Raw genomic sequence first — 19,032 nt, 5'->3', positions numbered from 1 at the left:
AATAGCAAAAGCCCCTTCCCCAGTTCTTACGCACGTGAAAGCTGCAGAACTACAGGATTAGAATTGGAGGGCAGGCAGACACTAGCTGTTTCTCTGCAATCTGAACGTTCCGAACGAGGAAACTGAGGCCCAGAGAGGAGAAAGGGATCTGCCCGCGTCTCCCAGGTGGTCCAGGCTGGAGACAAAAAGTTCGGATCTGGGCCCACCCCGGCCGACCCTCCCAGACCTCCAGCATCTGCCGGGCTAGCCAGCCGGGAACGGGGGCCTTCGGGGTGGGCCGCCGGCTCCCGGGCCGCTTTCAACCTGGGGGACGGAGGCGGTGGGAGCGTCGCCATTGGCCAGGGCGCGGCGGACGCCTCCCCATTGGCCGGGCGGACGCCTCCCCATTGGCCGGGCGGAGCCCTCCGCCCCCGGCCGGGGCGGCCTTGCCATTGGCCCCTCCCTCGCCTATAAGGCGGGGGCCGGCGGGGCCGTGGGAGCGCGCGGGAGCGCACGGCGGGGCGCGGCCGACGCTGGGACGCGGCGCACGGAGGGACGCGGCCGGCGCCCATGGCGTTCGCGCTGCTGCGGCCCGTCGGCGCGCACGTGCTGTACCCGGACGTGCGGCTGCTGAGCGAGGACGAGGAGAACCGCAGCGAGAGCGACGCGTCGGACCAGTCGTTCGGCTGCTGCGAGGGCCCGGAGGCGGCGCGGCGCGGCCCGGGCCCCGGGGGCGGGCGGCGGGCGGGCGGCGGCGGCGGCGCGGGCCCCGTGGTGGTGGTGCGACAGCGGCAGGCGGCCAACGCGCGGGAGCGGGACCGCACTCAGAGCGTGAACACGGCCTTCACGGCGCTGCGCACGCTCATCCCCACCGAGCCGGTGGACCGCAAGCTGTCCAAGATCGAGACCGTGCGCCTGGCGTCCAGCTACATCGCGCACCTGGCCAACGTGCTGCTGCTGGGCGACTCGGCCGACGACGGGCAGCCGTGCTTCCGTGCCGCGGGCAGTGCCAAGGGCGCCGTCCCCGCCGCCGCCGACGGCGGCCGCCAGCCGCGCTCCATCTGCACCTTCTGCCTCAGCAACCAGCGCAAGGGGGTGAGTGTGCTGCGTCCCTCGCTGCGGCCGCCAGGTCGGGGTAGGCGGGGGGCAGCGCCTCTGCGGGAACCGGAGAGGTGCAGGGGTCCCCAACGAGGCCAGGGGGAAGCGACGTGGAATTCGTGCTGGGTGCGGCACCCCAAGCCCAGAACCACTGACTTAATGCCCAGGCCCCCAAACAGAAGGATGCGGGAAAACCCAGAGTTCGGGTCTGATTTAACTGCTCAGTGTGGGATATCCCCTCCAACGAAAGGTGTGCTGGAACTTCCTTCCTGCTGGGAAGACGGCATGAGGACTGAGTAACAAAGACCCATCTTTTATGGAGTCTTCCTCTGTGCCGATGCGCTCCACATCCACTTTTTTGCCTTCACAAGAATCCCTTCAGGCAGGTAGTTTTTCTGCCCATTTTATCCTGATGAGGATCTGAGCATCAGAGATGGGATCACCTGCCCACATTTACTCAGCTGGGAAGCCGGGGCGCTGGCCCTGGGCTTGCCCGGTGTGTGTTGCCCCCACCTTGAAATAATTGTCCCCTGTCCTAAGATCTAACCCAAGAGCAGGAGACTGAGAAGAAAGGAGGCCACAAACCGCCAACCGAGAGCCTGAGGTACCCAGCGGATGAGCAGTAGGAGTGAAGAAGGGGCCCTCTGAGAGTCCCCAGCCCCCAAAAGGACGTGGTGTTGGGAGAGGGCACTCTTGGGTCAGCTGGAGGGAGCTGGTGTGCAGCTCCTGCAATGTGTCCTGGGCAAGAAAGTGGATCAGGCTGGTAGGGGTGGGCGGGGGCTGTGTGGCAGCAGAGGTGGCCTCTTGGCTGAAACCTTGCCCAGGCTCCAAGGAACCTGCTTCATCCCCCGACCGTGTGCCTTTCTGGCCTGGGCTTTTCCTACAGTAAAGAAGCCTGTCTAACAACTTGTATTCCAGCAGCTACCATTTACATCCGGGGAAACTGAGGCTGAGAGAGTACTGACTTTTGGTGGCCAAGTGGAAGGGCATGGGGAATTGGAGTTAGGCCCCTGACTCCCTGCTGTTTGGTTCTCACAGCTGCCGTTGGTCCCTTGCTCCACCCTGTTCTGCGGAGGCCTCTGCATCTTGGCCTGAGACCACCCTCTGTCTGGCTCATCAGATATCCAGCCTGGTTGCTCAACACTTGGCTGCCTCAGTTGCCCTGAATCGTCGGTCTTCTTAGCCTCAGGCTTGTGCCCTCTCCAGGGTCCCTGCTGCTCCCAGCTGTGGGCCCCTGTCAGTGCCCCAGGCTGGGCTGAGAAGCCAGGAGTGGGCCTTTAAGGCTTCCTGGGATGGGAGGGCCTGAAGGGGCTCTCAGGGATACTCCCTGACTGCCTTTCACCCATTCATTCCAGTTAGCAACCCTTAGCTACCCAACAGCTGCCTTCTGTTGGCTCTGAGAACCCCAGAGAAGCAGGTTGTAGGTCCCCACCCTTCCACCAGTCAGGACCTGACAGTACAGCCCCAGGGTCAGGGCAGGGAGATGAAGATGAGGATGCTGTGGTCTGATGGTGGGGGAGGGGAAGCACAAAGGGATTCTCAGAGCCCAGAGAAAGCCTCCAACCCAGGGTGAGTGCTGACAGGGTTTCTGTGTCTCATTTCTGAAGGATGCTTTAGAACAGGGGCAGGCCGATGAAGGGGTAGGAAAGGGTGTTCTAGGATTGGGGCATACAGCAAGAGCTCAGGCCTAGAGAAGGAAGAGGGAAGAGGTTAAAAGTGGCAGGAGTGCAGAGGGGGAGCACAATGGCCAATAACAGCAGTGACAGCAGCCTTCATGAGCACTGATCTGTGCTAAGCGCTCTTTATGATTTATCATTAAAATCCTGCAACAGCCAGGAATGAGGCGCTGTGGTTATCCCCACTTGCTTAGAGGTGCTGCCAGTGGCGCAGAGACACACAGTCAGTGATGGAACCAGGATTCAAACTCAGGCCTGCCTGGTTGGGACGTGGGATAGGTTACAGAGGGAAGTCCCTGTAACTGTCATGTGTCCACCCCCATAGCAAGCAGGCTGGGGGACTTCTCTGCAGGTCTCAGGCCTGTCCCACAGCTCACAGGGGCCTCCCCTGGGCCTGGCCGCTTCCCTGGGATCTGTCTATGGGACCAAGAACTCAGCCAAATTTGGCTGTAGAAACCATGCTCTCAACCCCACGGTCTCCTCTGGGAATAGGCGAGAGGGGCAATCCTGGCCAGCTATGGCCCCTTGAAGACTCTGCTGGAAGAAAACTGGCTGGCTTGGGGAGCTCTTGCTCCCTTCTGAGCTTTGTGGGCCAGAAGAGCTTTAAGACCCAAGACCCCGTTCCTTTACCCTGAGCCACCACCTCCCTCCCATCCTGGCCAGTCTGGAGTTGGGGTTGCCGTGGAAACAGTTTCCTGTAGCATCTTTCTGTTGAAGGAGGGGTTAGGTGTGGCCCTCTGTGGTAGAATTAGCACGTGGGAGGTGGAAAGGGGGTTCTTGTCTCTGCCCTGTTTTCCCTTTGTCACCTGGGGGTGAGGATTGGACAGGATCATCTTGTAAGGCTCTCCCCTGTTGGTATACCCAGAGGGTAGCTGGGACCAGGAGGCACTGTCCATAGATGATGCTGATAATAATACTTATGAACATTTATTGAACATTTACTTTGTTCCCAACACTGTGCCAAGGCTTTACCTAGATTAGCTTGTGTGATCCTGTAAAGTAATTCCCCTTTACGGGGGGGAAACTGAGGCTCAGTGAGATGAAATCACTTGCCTGAGGTCCAGTAGTTGGCCCTTGGCAAAGTAGGGATCGAAGCCTAGGTCTGTCTCACTTGAGCCTAACTCCTAACCATGGTGCTTCCCGAAGACCCTTGGTGCTGAGTTCCTAAGGGACAAACAAACTGGGGTCTTGTCAGGACTTTTTTTTTTTTTTTTTTGCGATGGAGTCTCGCTCTGTCGCCCAGGCTGGAGTACAGTGGCACGATCTCAACTCACTGCAGCCTCCGCCTCCCGGGTTCAAGCAGTTCTCCTGCCCCAGCCTCCCAAGTAGCTGGGATTACAGGTGCCAGCCACCACACCTGGCTAATTTTTTGTATTTTTAGTAGAGACGGGGTTTTGCCATGTTGGCCAGGCTGGTCTCGAACTCCTGGCCTCAGGTGATCCGCCTGCCTCGGCCTCCCAAAAGTGCTGGGATTACAGGCATAAGCCACCATACCCGGCCGTCAAGACCTCTTCTAAGTACACTTAGCAGCTTACACAGCTGCATTCACATTCGACTGCACCTTGAGATGGCAAGTAAAATCATTTTGTCCCCATTTCATAGATGAAGAAACTGAGGTTCAGGGAGGTGAACAGTCCCAGCATTCTTCTGGGACCCTAGGTCTCCAGCTGACCTCCAGACTTGGGGTGGGAGGGGGCGGCTCTCCCTGTCCCTGAGCACTTACAGAGTAAAAGAGAGGAAGGCCAGTTTTCTAATTCAACCTTAATATTGCACCCCCTCCCCTATCTGCCCTTCTCAGCCACTCCTGCCAGAGTTTGTCTGAGAAGCCCAAGCCCCAGGCTCTGCTGGGACTGTGGCCTCAGCCCTCAAAATAGCCCTGCCTGTGAGTGAACATGCTGTCCCTGGGCTGCAAGAGCCTCGAGGGAGGCTGGGCTCGCATCTGGATGGATCTGCCCCAACCTGGACCTGGGGGTGGAGGGGGCAGGGGACAGAGCTCCCAGATGGTCAGCTGTTTCTCTAAGTGGGCTGAGAAAGCTGCCTGTTCCTCCATCATCTAGCCAGGCTCAGGGTGATGAGCATTTACAGTGGGATTTCAGACACTATCATGTCCTGGAAACAGGACAGATTGTTGGACAACATAGATTTCTAGCCCAGCTCTTTTACAACTGGCTGGGTGCCTCTGGGCCAGTCATTCAGTGGCTGGAGGCCTCAAAAGAGGGGGTGCTTTAACATCTGTGACCTCTCTGGCTTACGGTGAGGATGAAACCCATGTGTCCAGTCTGAAAATATCAATGAGAAGAGCTGGTAGAGACAGCCCCTGTAAGGACTGATGGTTTCAGGGACTGCCGCCATTAGCCCATCTTCCAATGGCTGCCACTTAATTCAGGCGGCCTTGATTGGTGCCTGCTCCAAGTCAGGTCCTGGGCCAAGAGAGCCCAGGCTGGAAATGGGACCACAGAGTGAAGAACTCCTTTTCCCTACCACTCCCTGAGATCCCAGTCCAGATGGGGAGACAAAGGAGAGACCCTGCCTTGTCCTTCTGAGATTCATCCCCATGGAATGTCCCCAGAAAGGCAGGAAGTGCTAGGCAATTTCAGGAACAGAGAAACCTTTCCAGGGAGACAAGACCTGAGAGCACATTCCTGGGAAAGGGGACGCCCTGAGGGAAGTCAAGGAGGCCAGAAACCGAGTCCCCTTTTAAAGGTGGACGAGTGAGCCGCTAGGCATGCAGTCAGGCAGGGGGAGGACCACTGTGGGGTGTGCTTGTTTTGCCCGTGTAAAATATTATGCTTTAAAATATATTGGATTTTTTTTAAGCAACAGATCATATGGGAAAGAAGTAGAAAAGGTAAAAAAGTATAGCGTGAATACAAAAATTAGCCGGGTGTGGCGGTGGGCCCCTGTAGTCCCCGCTACTCGGGAGGATGAGGCAGGAGAATCACTTGAACCCGGGAGGCAGAGGTTGCAGTGAGCTGAGATTGTGCCACTGCATTCCAGCCTGGCAACAGAGCAAGACTCCATCTCAAAAAACAGTATAGCATGAGAGAGCCTCCCTCCCATCCTCTCTCCATCATCAAATTCCTCTCTGAAGAAACCCACTCACAATTTCCCGTGTGTGCTTCTCCCCAGCAATCACAGCACACAGGCGCATTCAGCCTGCCCCTTGCTTTTGTCCCTAAACATTGTCATTTGGCAGCAGTCTGTATCAGTCCAGAAAGGGTTTCTTCTGCTTTCTGTTGCAGAGAACTTGATCGTGTGGCTGAACTGTGATTTATTGATCAGGATCCCTCTTGAGGGATACAGAGGTTAGTTCCAGTGTTCACACTGGCCTAATCGAACCTCTTTATACTCTTTCTCCCCCTCTGCAGGGTGGCCGTCGTGACCTGGGGGGCAGCTGCTTGAAGGTGAGGGGGGTGGCCCCCCTTCGAGGGCCACGGAGATGAGCCTGGACCCTGGAGAAGGAGGCCAGGAGCCAGCCACTGGCTGGACAGGGAAGAAGACCCCAGGAGCCAAGCCCACCCCTTCTTTGTGTAGGGACCGGGGGACCATGGCCTGTTCCGGGACACTCTGGGCAGGGCCCTCGGGACATCTCCACCCGATCCTGGAGAGCTGTGAGGATCCATTCAGCCTGCCCAGCTCTGGCTGGTCAGAGACAAGGCAGAACTTTTGGAAAAACAAAGACTGTTGGTGACAGGGTGTGTGTGTATCTGTGCGTGAGTGTGAGTGTGTGTGAGAGAGAATTGGTGAGTTTAAAATAAAAGCTATTTTTAAATAAAAGACGTCGTTCTGAGCTGAGGAGAGTCCCGTGGACATCGGAGGTCAGAGGTGGGCCCTCCCCTGGACCTAGAGAGAGGCACAGATGTTCTGGGGGCTGCCCTGAGCCCTGGAAGGGTGGGGGTGGGGCGGGGGAAGGCAGGCAGAGCCCCCTCTCCGGGCGCCATAACCAAACTTTCCTCAGTCTGCTGTTTATCAGATGTTCTTAACAACTGTTAGGTGTCTGATATGGTTGGTAAAGAAATCTTAATTTTACTTATTTTTGAATAAGGCCTGTGTTCATTTCATTCACATGGTTCAAAACTCAGAAGGTACCAGAGGGTATGTGTTGAAAAGTCTCCGTGCCCCTGTCCTCCAGCCACCAGCTCTCCTCTCTGCAAGCAGCCTAGGGCACCAGTTTCCTGTGATGTCCCATTCACTATGAATGATCAGGCAAATACACAAATGACAGCACATCGTACACACTTTTGGCTCCTTCTTTTTTTCCTTAATCTAGCTTGGTATCATCCCAAGTCAGTACCTAAAGGGTATTTCATTTCTTCCTGAGCTGCTTATTATTCCATTTTGTGAACATGCCATCCTTTAACCCATCCCTCTTTGATGCGATCACCAACAAGCCATGTGGTTTTCCACAAGTGCAAATGAGTGCATGCTAAAGGGGAATATTCTTACCCCTGTGTTAGCTGAAATGCTTTAGAAGACCGATGACACCCAGAGGCACGTGGCAGGGTGACACCCTGAGGTCCGTCCACCTTTGAAGCCCAGAGCAGCTCCTTCCTTGCCCTGGAGATGCCCCAAGTGGAAAGCCAGCACCTGTTACCCCAATTACACTCCCAGGAGCCCTGGGAGGTGAGAGCTGGTGTCTTCCCCACTGCAGACCCAGCAGAGACAGCGATGCGTCAGCTGATCAGTGCAGCTAGGAGTTCTTGGCTCTCGGGCTGGGGCTGTGTCCCTGTGAGGTCAGGATCAGAGAAGCTCGAGAGGCCCGAGGGTGGGAGAGCCAGGGAAAGGCCAGGGCAGCCAGGCAGCCACCCTCTCCTCAGCAAGGTACATTCATATGCCTATTTCAACAGTTTATTTATTTAACAAACACTTTTATTTTTATTTTTTTAGAGACAGGGTCTCACTATGTTGCCCAGGCTGGTCTCAAACTCCTGAGCTCAAGTGATCTATTTCATGTTTACTGACTGCACTCTGGCCCCAGAGTCCACGTTCGTATCCCCTCTGTTCTGCCTCTACCCCACTCCCCTGCGTTTGACCATCTGAGCCTGAATTGTGGCTCCGATTTTGCAAATTGACAAACAGATTGTCAATACCCTCTGTGTGGCAGGCACTGTGCCAGATGCCACAGGAATGAGCCCGACCAACCTGGTCTTCCTCACAGATGAAAACCGAGGCCCAGGGAGATCAAGGGAGTTGTGGAATTGCCAGTCCCTAGGCTGGAGCAGGCCATGAAATTACCATGCTTAATTCCTTTGGTGTAAGAAGTAGAGGAAGGAGGGCCCCAGGGGGCCGGGGTCCCCCACCCAGGAGAGCTTTCCAAGCACCCTCTACCTCACTTCCCCGCTGTTTCAGGAACACTGGTCGTGCTTATCCTGTGTCCCAGCGTGGCTGTGCTTCCCCCTTTGGGAGCTGATTAGGAAAGCACATTGCTCCCCCTGCGCCTACCCTCCCAGGTACAGCCAGCCTCTGGCAAAGCCACAGGAAAAGGACTGTGGCCTTGTCAATGGCAGGAAGCCTGGGAGTGGGGGCAGAGCAGACACTTGGGTGCTCTGGCTGGAGGCCCACTCCGCCACCAGATTTGCTGGGTGACCCCAGAGATGTTGCTTGACCCCTCTGGGCCTCCCTGGCTCAGTCTCTAACTAGTAAGAGCAGCTAGAACAGAAAGATAAGTATTTGTTTTGCTTTGTGAGATAGTTTTTAATAGACCCTGTATGCACTGGTAAGTAATCCAAGTTGTATCAAATGGTATGCAGTGAAAAGTACAGACCTCCTCAGGCCCCTCCCCAGAGGCAGCTTCCTGAGTGTCCTTCCAAAAAAGCTTCTATACTGATAACTGTTTCTGAAAAAATATTTATAGGTTTCTCTGCCTGTGCTTTCATTGTAAAACAAATTCAAAATGCTATAAGACTCTAGAAATATCACTTATCCCAGAGACAGCCACAGTGAAGACGATAATCCCACCGAGTATTTTTTGTTGTTTTGTTTGAGATAGGGTCTCACTCTGTCACCCAGGCTGGAGTGCAGTGGCACAGTCATAGCTCGCTGCAGGCTTAACCTCCTGTCCTCAAGTGATCCTCCCACCTCAGCCTGCGGAGTAGCTGGAAATACGGGCATACACCACCAGGCCTGGCTAATTTTATTTATTTGTTTATTTTGTAGAGACAGGTTCTTACTATGTTATGCAGGCTGGTCTCCAGCTCCTGGGCTCAAGCGATCCACCTCAGCCTCCCAAAGTGCTGGGATTATAGGCATGAGCCACTGCGCCCAGCTCTGCAGCGTTTTTGTTAAACTAGCACACATACGCTTAACAAATCATTTAAACCATGCTAAGTTTACGCTTTTTTTTTTTTTTTAAGATGGATCTCACTCTGTCACCCAGGTTGGAGTGCAGTGGCGTGATCTTGGCTCACTGCAACCTCCACCTCCCGGGTTCAAGCGATTCTCCTGCCTCAGCCTCCTGAGTAGCTGGGAGTACAGACGTGCACCACCACGCCTGGCTAATTTTTGTATTTTTAGTAAAGACGGGGTTTCACCATGTTGGCAAGGCTGGTCTCGAACTCCTGACCTCAGGTGACCCACCCATGTTGGCCTCCCAAAGTGCTGGGATTACAGGCATGAGTTACTGCGCCCGGCCAAGTTTACACTTTTTATGGAAGTATAAGACACATTCAGGAAAGTGCACAGGGTGTAAGGGTACAGCTCAATGGATTTTCACAAGCTGAGCACACCTGTACACCCAGCATGGAGATCAAGAAATGCAATTAGCAGCTTCCCAGGAGCCAGCCCCTCTTGCACATCTACACATACCGGTTCTTTCCTTTGAATGAGACACAAAAAAGAATAAACTGACAATAAGTCTCCTTCTCTCCCAGCCACCAGCTCCAGTCCCCAGAGGCAATTGCTATGTTAAGGTAACCAGGATCCTATGGATTCCGGCAGAGATGGTCTGCATATATAGGCAAATTACATAGATATTGTTTTTCCACACAAGTGGTAGCATTTCACACACTCCTCTCTGCACTGGATTTTTTTTTCTTAACTGTACTTCTTGGAGACCCTTGGTTGCTTACAGAGCTGTTTCACACCTTTTCATAGCTGCATAGTGCTCCATTATGCATATTTTGCAGCTTGCTATCTTCCTGGTAATGGACAGTTAATGCCCATGAGCCTTTGTGAGCTGCAAGGTCAGCCCACACACGTGACCGGGGAGAAGCACAGGTGTGGTCTGCATATATAGGCAGCTCCTCTGGGGAACATTTTGTAACATTGTCCGCTCCCCCAGCATGCCTGTCGCCTCCGGGATGGTCCAGCCCAGCCAAGCTTCTCCAGGCCAACTTGAGGCCACAGGAGTAAAGCTGCTCAGGGAGAAGAAATCCAGGACTGAAGGGGTTGGAATGACCGACTCAGCCAGGCCACCTTGGACCCCAAAGGGTTACACTCTCCCTGCAAGTCTTGACACATGAAGCAGCAGCACAAGAATAATCTCAGAGTTCATCATTTCACAATGAAGAAAGTGAGACAAGACAGAGGGCAACCTGCCTGGGGTTCCCCAGCAGGTCCTTGGCCCTGTTGGGACACCAAGAACACAAATCTCCCTCCTTGCCATGCAGGGCTGTTTTCTCTGACTCCACAGTTATGAGCAGGAAGGCCTCAGAGGTCACCCATGGCAACCTGAAGCTCAGAGAGGAGCGGTGATGGGCCACGGTTGCACAGCATCTGGAGCTGAGCAGGGCTGAGAACACAGGACCTCTTGCACCCACAGCACTTCAGGTTCCCCTCATTGTCCCAGGCCACTCCCATTTTATGAGGCTTTTATTAGGTTAAAAAATGAAGCACTACAAAAAGAGAGTGCTGAAGACTATGGCATATTTGGTAAGTTAACTTTTTTTTTTCTTTGAGACACGGTTACACCCTGTCACCCAGGCTGGAGTGCAGGTGGCACGATCATGGCTCACTGCAGCCTCCACCTCCTGGAGTCAGGTAGTCCTAGCGCCTCAGCCTCCTGAGTAGCTGGGACTACAGGTGTGCACCATGATGCCCAGCTAATTTTTTATTTTGAGGGGGTTTCGCCATGTTGCCCAGGCTAGTCTCAAATTCCTGGGCTCAAGCAATCCTCCAGCCTCAGCCTCCCAAAGTGCTGGGATTACAGGTGTGAGCCACTGTGCCTGGCCTGGCAAGTTAACTCTTAACTACCTCCACACAGTCAGGAGCGTGATGCATTATTGTGGAACACCATATAATTAGAGGATTTATAGAAACATTGGTTCATGGGACGTACATATGAAGTTGGATGTCTTTGTTCAACCCCATCTGTGTCTCTTACGACTGTATATTTTACCTCGTGTAGTTGTGATATCAAGTATAGACCTGAACAGGTAAATGCGATACATGACTTTGAACTGGATCCTGTACTGCAGAGGGGAAAATGTGACAGGGGACCTTCTTGGTAGAGTTGACAATTTTTTTTTTTGAGACATGGTCACACAAAATTGGGATATGAACAATAGATTAAGGTATTGCATCAAAGTTAAATTTTCTGTATTTGCTAACAGCACCCTGATTGTGTCAGAGGATATCCTTGTGCTTAAGAATTACATCCTAGGCCGGGCGTGGTGGCTCAGCTTGTAATCCCAGCACTTTGGGAGGCCGAGGTGGGCGCATCACCTGAGGTCAGGAGTTCGAGACCAGCCTGGCCAACATGGTGAAACCCTGTGGTGGCAGGCGCCTGTAATCCCAGCTACTCGGGAGGCTGAGGCAGGAGAACTGCTCGAACCCGGGAGGCAGAGGTTGCAGTGAGCCAAGATCGCACCATTGCACTCCAGCCTGGGTGACAGAGTGAGACTCCGTCTCAAAAAAAAAAAAAAAAATACATCCTGAAGTACTATTAAGGAGAAGTATGATGTAGGTAACGTGCTCTCTCAAATGGTTCAGAAGAGAAATAATATATGTGTGAGAGAAAAGGATAGAGTAAATATGACAAACTTAAAATGTGGTGAATCTGAGTACAGGGTATATGGGAGTTCTCTGCACCACTTTTGTCACTTTTCTGCATGTTGTAAATGATTGCAAAATGAAAAGTTAAAAAGAAGTTGGGATCTTGGCCTACTGTGATGCGAGGGCTGCCAAATGGTGTCCTGGCCCCCTCTGATGCACCCTGGCTTTAGCTTGTCCAACAGACGATGGAAAATATCCCCAGCAGACCCAGGTGCCTCTGCTCGTGACTCTCAGGCCCCTGTGCCCCTTAGGAGGCTAAGGTGGTCCCATCCCCCGAGTCTCCTGCCACCATGATTTATGTCCCTATGAGCCTCAGCAGCTGTGAGCACAGGTCCCACTGGGCAGCCGGCTGGGGGGGCTGGCGTTTGCTTCTCAGCGTGTCTAATCCAGACCAGATTTGCAGACCCCATGGGCCTGGGATAGAGCTCCCAGGGGGCTAGGGTCAGAGGGCAGGCCAGCAGGGCCTGGAAACCAGGGAGGCACTCAGGATGAACAGGCTGCGAGACAGAAGACCTAGCCTATTCTAGGTTGGCCACTGCTCCTGTGTGACCCAGGGTAGGCGTCTGGCCCTCTCTGGCCCTTGCTTTTCCTCACGTCAGCACGGCCAGCAACTTTGTCAGCTGGGACACACTGGCCTTGTGGGAGGGAAGGCTGATAAAATCTAGGAGTTGTTTTTTTCTGAATGGCTTGGAAAAATGCCTGACTCTTTTGAGGACCTACTACGTGTCAGGCCTAGGCTATGCACTTTACATAAAATAAATACAGCTTCGCGGGGGGCAGTGGCTCATGCCTGTAATCACAGTGCTTTGGAAGGCGGAGGAGGGCAGATCACTTGAGGCCAGGAGTTCAAGACCAGCCTGGCCAACATGGCCAAACCCCATCTCTGCTAAAAATACAAAAATTAGCTGGGCATGGTGGTGCGTGCCTGTAATCCCAGCTACTCAGGAGGCCGAGGCAGGAAAATCCCTTCAACCCAGGAGTTGGAGGTTGCAGTGAGCCGAGATTGCACCACTGCACTCCAGCCTGGGCAATAGAGTAAGACCCCGTCTCTAAATAAATAAATACATACATACATACAGCTTGCTCAAAAGCTGGTTAGATATGTATTATTATTGCTCCATTTTATAGATGAGGAAACGGAGGCACAAGGAGGTTAAAGAACTTGGCCAAGGTGACACAGTGGCTGGTGGATTTGAATCAGATGTTCTAGCTGCAGAGCCCCACTGGGCTCTCAACCACCACCCCCACATGACCTCACCAGGTGCGTGCCTAGTCCTGATGTTGATGGAACTGACTAATCCAAGGCACTTCTCTGAGTGACATACAGAGATGGCCTCACTTGCAACAAGCCACATAGGTAGGTACTGTTGCTATCCCCATTTCACAGACTAGAAAACCAAGCCCAAGGGCACCCAGCTAGGCAATGGCACAGCCAGGATTCCAACTGAGGGGGTCTAGCTCCAGATCCCACAGCCTGCATCACAGCAGGAGGGTAAAACTCAGCAGGAGGCATGGGATAGAGTGTAACATTGTAGACCAACATAAGGCTGGCAGACTTTGTCAGTCAGTAAGTCCGTCAACAAACATGTTTTGAACTTCTCCATGAACCACACAAGGCTCTAGGGATGATCAGAGAATAAGCCAGATGTAGTACCTGACCTCATGGAGTTTACGGCCTACTGAAAAAGCAGGCTCTGAGCAAATAATAAAAATGGGATGGGTGCTTCTAAGTTATGTGGGAACGCATGGCTGGGAGACCTGTGTCGTCATTAGGAATGATGCTTCCAAGGTGAGAGAAGGCTTTGCCGAGTGTGAATGGTTCTGCAGCTTCCAGGCCACCCCTGCATCAGTATGAATGATGGGGCACCTGCAGGACCTGGGTCTCCCCTAAACACAACCCCTGAATCCCCAACATATCTCCTTTGAGTGCCCAGAGCAGCCCCATGAAGCTGTCAAAGCAACAGAAGGCTGGTTGGACAGAAGTCGAAAATAAAAGCAAACACTTACCTAGCACCGCCTCAGTGCCAGGCACTGTTCCACGGCCTGTAACTCATTTACTCCTCTACGACCCAGTGAGACAGGCTGTCACTATCCTCACACGGCCATCAAAGGACAGAACCGGGATGTGGACTGAGGCTGGGTCCAGAGCCCACTCTCTTCACCTCCCTGCTCTGCTGCCTCTGTGCCAAATGCTGAGCATCCCGAGCGCCTGGTGGCACCGGCGCGTTGTGGGTGCCTAGCAGATACTCGGGAAGGACCAAGAGGCATTGTTCTGTCTCACTCACTCTGCATAACCACCCTGTAAGGCCAACCTAATCCATTTCAGAGGTGGCACTCAAAGAAAAGCAGTGACCAGCCTGAGGTCGCACGGCTAGGAGTGCAGAGTTGGACCTCAAACCCAGCTCTGTGGATCGTCCCATCTGCAGAAAACCCAGTTTGGAAGATATTGGCAGAATCTTGGGTGTTTTGTTTTGTTTTGTTTTGTTTTTGTTTTTGTTTTTGTTTTCAGACAGAGTCTCGCTCCATCACCCAGGCTGGAGTGCAGTGGCATGATTCGACTCACTGCAACCTCCGTCTCCCAGGTTCAAGCGATTCTCCTGCCTCGGCCTCCAGAGTAGCTGGGATTCAGGAGCGTGCCACCACACCTGGCTAATTTTTGTATTTTTAGTAGAGACAGGGTTTCACCATATTGACCAGGCTGGCCTCAAACTTCTGACCTCAGGAGATCTGCCTGCTGCAGCCTCCCGAAGTGCTGGGATTACAGGCGTGAGCCACCGCGCTTGGCCTGGAAGATATTGGCAAAGAGCCTTTAACCATAGAGAAGAAAGGGTGGGCCCAGGGCTCAGGGAGGGAGAAAAGACACTGACCAACTGGGAACTCTGTGGGAACCTCTCTCACCCCACAACCTCACCCCACCCAGGGGCCTCCCCAGGAAGCAGCCAGGGCTGAGAAGCAATGGGGCCAGGGAGGCGGGCCTTGGATTCCCAAGAAGCAGACCCCCTCGCGCCCCCGGGTGGGAGGGCTAAAGAGCCACCCAGGAGCCAGGCTTGTCTTCTGCTCTCTCCACCCTCACTCTCCTCCCAGAGGCAGCCCCCGCTCCTCCCCACCCCCACCCACCTTCCCTGCCTCTCTCTGCCCTTGCAGCCCAGGCCCACCGCCTCCCCTGCCCCTGGCTTTCAGAAAGCCCTGGAAAGGCTTCCTTCTTTGAGACAGGAAGGTGTCCTCAAGTCTCAGGAAGGAAAAACAGTCAAGCTGAACCCACCAAGACCGTCTCCAAGGGGCCGGGACTGGCGCCTGGCCAGGACTGACATCACCTGGGAACCGCCACAGCCGCAGCTGCAGTGCGCCTCCTGGGGGGACTCGCTTTTGCTATTTAAAAAATAATAATAATAATAATAAAACTTTTCCAGTCTGGTGTTTTTAAATGTGCTTTTTATAGTGGGCCCTGGGGCGTGGGTGTTTTGGTGTCTCCTGTCCGCCTTTTCCTCACGTCCTGATTTCTCACACTACACAATGTGGCCTTTGACCAATTACAGCGAATTCCCGGGGATTCTGGGTGGGATCTCCTTCCAGGCCCTGACCCCCTCAGATGATCTCTTAGCTATCTAGATATGCTGAATTTCTTTCTTTCTCTTTTTTTTTTTTTGTTTTTTGTTTTTTGTTTTCTTTTTTGAGACAGGGTCTCACCGTCGTCCAGGCTGGAGTGCAGTGGTGTGAGCTCGGCTCACTGCAACCTATGCCTCCTGGGCTCAAGCAATCCTCCCACCTCAGCCCCCCAAGTAGCTGGGACTACAGGTGCACGCCACTACACCCAGCTAATTTTTGCATTTTTTTGAGAGATAGGGTCTCACTATGTTGCCCAGGCTGCTCTCAAACTCCTGAGCTCAAGCAATCCACCTGCCTCAGCTTCCCAAAGTGCTAGGGTTACAGCATGAGCCACCACGCCTGGCCAAGATACACTGAATTTCAACTTCAAAAAAATAGGCCGGGCGTGGTGGCTCACGCCTGTCATCGTAGCACTTTGGAAGGCTGAGGCAGGCAGATCATCTGATGTCAAGAGTTCGAGACCAGGCTGGCCAACATGGCGAAAATCCAACTCTACTAAAAATACAAAAATTAGCCAGGTGTGGTGGCGCACAACTGTAATCCCAGCTACGAGGGAGGCTGAGGCAGGAGAATCACTTGAACCCGGGAGGTGGAGGTTGCAGTGAGCCGAGATCGTGCCACTGCACTCCAGCCTGGGTGACAGAGTGAGACTCTGTCTCAAAAATAAATTAATAAATAAAAATAAAAAAAATTTACCCATGGTACCAAATTCAAAAGGCGTCTAAGGCCTCAGATGAAAAATAAGTCTCTCTCCCTGCCCCTTAGTCACCTGGTCTCCATCCCCTAAGGGACCCTCTTTTTTTTTTTTTTTTTTTTTTGAGACAGAGTCTCACACTGTCGCCCAGGCTGGAGTGCAGTGGCGCGATCTCATCTCACTGCAAGCTCCGCCTCCCGGGTTCACGCCATTCCCCTGCCTCAGCCTCCCAAGTAACCGGGACTACAGGCGCCCGCCACTCTTTTTTATTTTATTAAATAAAATCTTCTGTAGTGCTTAATGTGTGCCAGGTACTCTTCTAAGCAATTATCTAATATTAACTCATGTAACCCTCATAAAAACCCTATGAGGTAGGGTTTCCACTGACTATTTAACAGTGAATATTGCCAAAGATTTTTTATGCATATAGAAGCACATCTAGATCTATAATCTTAACCCCTCCCTTCCTAAAAAACATACATAGAAGCTAATTATACATGCTGGCCTGCACCTTGCTGTATTTACTTAAACTATGTCTTGGAAGGCCAGGCAGGGTAGCTCACGCCTGTAATCCCAGCACTTTGGAAGGCTGAGGTGCGAGAATCTCTTTGGCCCAGAAGTTTGAGACCAGCCTGGGCAATATAGTGAGACCTAGTCTCTCCAAAAAAAAATTTTATTTTAATTAGCCAAGCGTGGTGGTGCAAGCCTGTAGTCCTAGCTACTGAGGAGGCTGAGGCGAGAGGATCTCTTGAGCCCCCAGAGATGGAGGCTGTAGTGAACCGAGATCACACTACTGCACTCCAGTCTGGGAGACAGAGTGAGACCCAGACCCTGTCTCTCTCTCTCTGACATAAATATCTTAGGAATCATTTCACATTGGTACATAAAGAGACTCCTCATTCATCTTTATGGCTGCGTATTATTCCCTTCTGTGGAAGGAGGTACCATGATATGATTAACACATCCACTCTTGGTGAATCTTAGGGATATTTCCAATCTCTTCTCCCTGCATTACACTGCAATGGATAGCCAACGTGATCTCTCTAAAGCATAGGTTGAACCGCAACAGTCCAATACTCGAAAACTCTCCATCTTTCCCCCTTATGTGCAGAGGAGCATCTTAAATATAGGAATTATCAAGAGCCCCTCTAAGACCCTGGTAAAAGTAATGGACCAGCCGGGTGCGGTGGCCCACACCTATAATCTCAGCACTTTGGGAGGCCGAGGTGGGCGGATCACTTGAGGTCAGGAGTTCGAGACCAGCCTGGTCAACATGGTGAAACCCTGTCTCTACTAAAAAAACAAAAATTAGTCAAGCGAGGTAGCACACACCTGTAATCCCAGCTACTCAGGAGGCTGAGGCAGAAGAATCGCTTGAACCCAGGAGGCAGAAGTTGCAGTGAGCCGAGATCTCACTACTACACTCCAGCCTGGGTGATAGAGCATGACTCCGTCTCAAAAAAAAAAAAAAAAAAAGTAATGGATCACGGCTGGGCACGATGGCCCACACCTGTACTCCCAACACTTTGGGAGGCCAAGGCAGGAGGATCACTTGAGCACAGGAGTTCGAGACCAGCCTGCACAACACAGGGAGACACCATCTCTTAAAAAAAAAAAAAAATATATATATATATATATAATGCAGACATGGTGATGCATGCCTGTGGTCCCAGCTACTTGGGAAGCTGAGGTGAGAGGATCTCTCGAACCCAGGAGATGGAGGCTGCAGTGAGCTATGACCATACCACTGCACTCCAGCCTGGGTAACAAAGCAAGACCCTGTCAAAAAAAAAAAAAATACAAGTAATGGACCTGCCCCCATGCCCAAAAAGTTCATGGACAATCAATCTTCATATGGAACTCCAGGACTCCTGGAAACCCCGTCCGTGGATGCAGTAATGCCAAGACACCTCCTCCAGCTGCATGCGGTGCCCACGGCTTTGGGCTGCACACTTTGGACTGTCGGCTCTCCTGCTTCTGAGTTATGTAGCCTTAGGAAAATTGATTAATTTCACCATGCCTCAGTTTTCTCATCTCTAAAGTGGGGCTAACACAGTGATTTCCTCCTAATATTATGAAATAGAAATCAGATCCAGATTTGGAAGTGTGTAGCACAGTGCCCGATGCATAGCAAGTCATCAACTTGGGTTGGATATTATTTTCGTTGGTGGAGGTGCTGGTAGTGGTGGTGGGAGTATTGTTTCTGCAAGATAAATTCCAAACTCATTCATTTATTCAATAAACATTTGTTGCGAACATACTATGAACAGGGAACTGGGGGGTTCAGGGAGCTGAGGAAAGGGAAAGGTTTGTACAAAACCAAACCAAACCAATGTGCTTTGCATGCCACATGCTCGGGGCTCTGAAAGTGGAAGATGTGAGTGGTTTAGGGAGCACTGAAGAGGAGCTAGCTAAGCCAGCCTGCGGGTGGGACAGCCAAGGAAGGCTTCACAGAGGAGTGATGCTGGGAGGCTGTTGAAGGATGGGAGGGGGCTGTCTAGGTGAAAAGGAACCCGAGTAGAGCAGAGAGCCATACACCAGCCTTGAGGAGGGCAAGCCTACGGCAGGCAGCAGGGGAACCCCATGGAGGCTCTGAGTGACTAAGTGTGGGCTTTGGGGTGAGGAGAAAAGAAGATAGATGGGGCTGGACTGGAAGTTGGGAGGCTGTGGCTCTCACCAAGGCAAGGGCTGGTCAGAGCTGCGGGTAGAAAGAGACCCTGATGACTGGTGGAGGCTGGGTCGGCAGGAGGCAGGGAGGCCAGTTGGAGGCCATTTGGGTCAGCCATATAAAAACAATGACCTCTCTGGGTGTGGTGGTTCACACCTGTAATCCCAGCACTTTGGGAGGCCAAGGTGGGTGGATCACTTGAGGCCAGGTGTTCAAGACCAGCCTGGCCAACATGGCAAAACCCCATCGTTACTACAAATACAAAAATTAACTGGGTATGGTGGTGCTCGCCTGAATCCCAGCTACTCGGGAGGCTGAGG

General features: G+C 52.7%; 1 protein-coding gene across 1 annotated transcript, besides 2 other annotated features; it reads left to right on the top strand.

Annotated features, from left to right (window-relative positions):
- Positions 271–380: a silencer, noted in NCBI's record as "silent region_12581". NCBI's record gives its function as "represses an Ori minimal core promoter by ATAC-STARR-seq in GM12878 lymphoblastoid cells {active_cell/tissue: GM12878}" and the evidence as "EXISTENCE:reporter gene assay evidence [ECO:0000049][PMID:35858748]".
- Positions 391–560: a silencer, noted in NCBI's record as "silent region_12580". NCBI's record gives its function as "represses an Ori minimal core promoter by ATAC-STARR-seq in GM12878 lymphoblastoid cells {active_cell/tissue: GM12878}" and the evidence as "EXISTENCE:reporter gene assay evidence [ECO:0000049][PMID:35858748]".
- On the top strand, positions 478–6,530 carry TCF15 (transcription factor 15). The gene is made up of 2 exons (NM_004609.4): positions 478–1,074; positions 6,122–6,530. The coding sequence occupies exons 1-2, from the start codon at positions 550–552 to the stop codon at positions 6,194–6,196; spliced, it is 600 nt and encodes a 199-aa protein (NP_004600.3). The 5' UTR covers positions 478–549; the 3' UTR covers positions 6,197–6,530.

The sequence above is a fragment of the Homo sapiens genome, chromosome 20, assembly GCF_000001405.40.
Source record: "Homo sapiens chromosome 20, GRCh38.p14 Primary Assembly".
Lineage (NCBI taxonomy): Eukaryota > Metazoa > Chordata > Mammalia > Primates > Hominidae > Homo > Homo sapiens.
Note: the sequence above shows the minus strand (reverse complement) of the source record. Positions and strands in the feature narration are given on the sequence as shown.

What these genes read in the sequence shown, in the direction of transcription:
- TCF15 (NM_004609.4), top strand. Translation starts at nt 550, where the DNA reads ATGGCGTTCGCGCTGCTGCGGCCCGTCGGCGCGCACGTGCTGTACCCG. An exon ending in TCAGCAACCAGCGCAAGGGG is followed by an intron (nt 1,075 to 6,121) that starts GTGAGTGTGCTG and finishes CCCCCTCTGCAG; the next exon opens with GGTGGCCGTCGTGACCTGGG.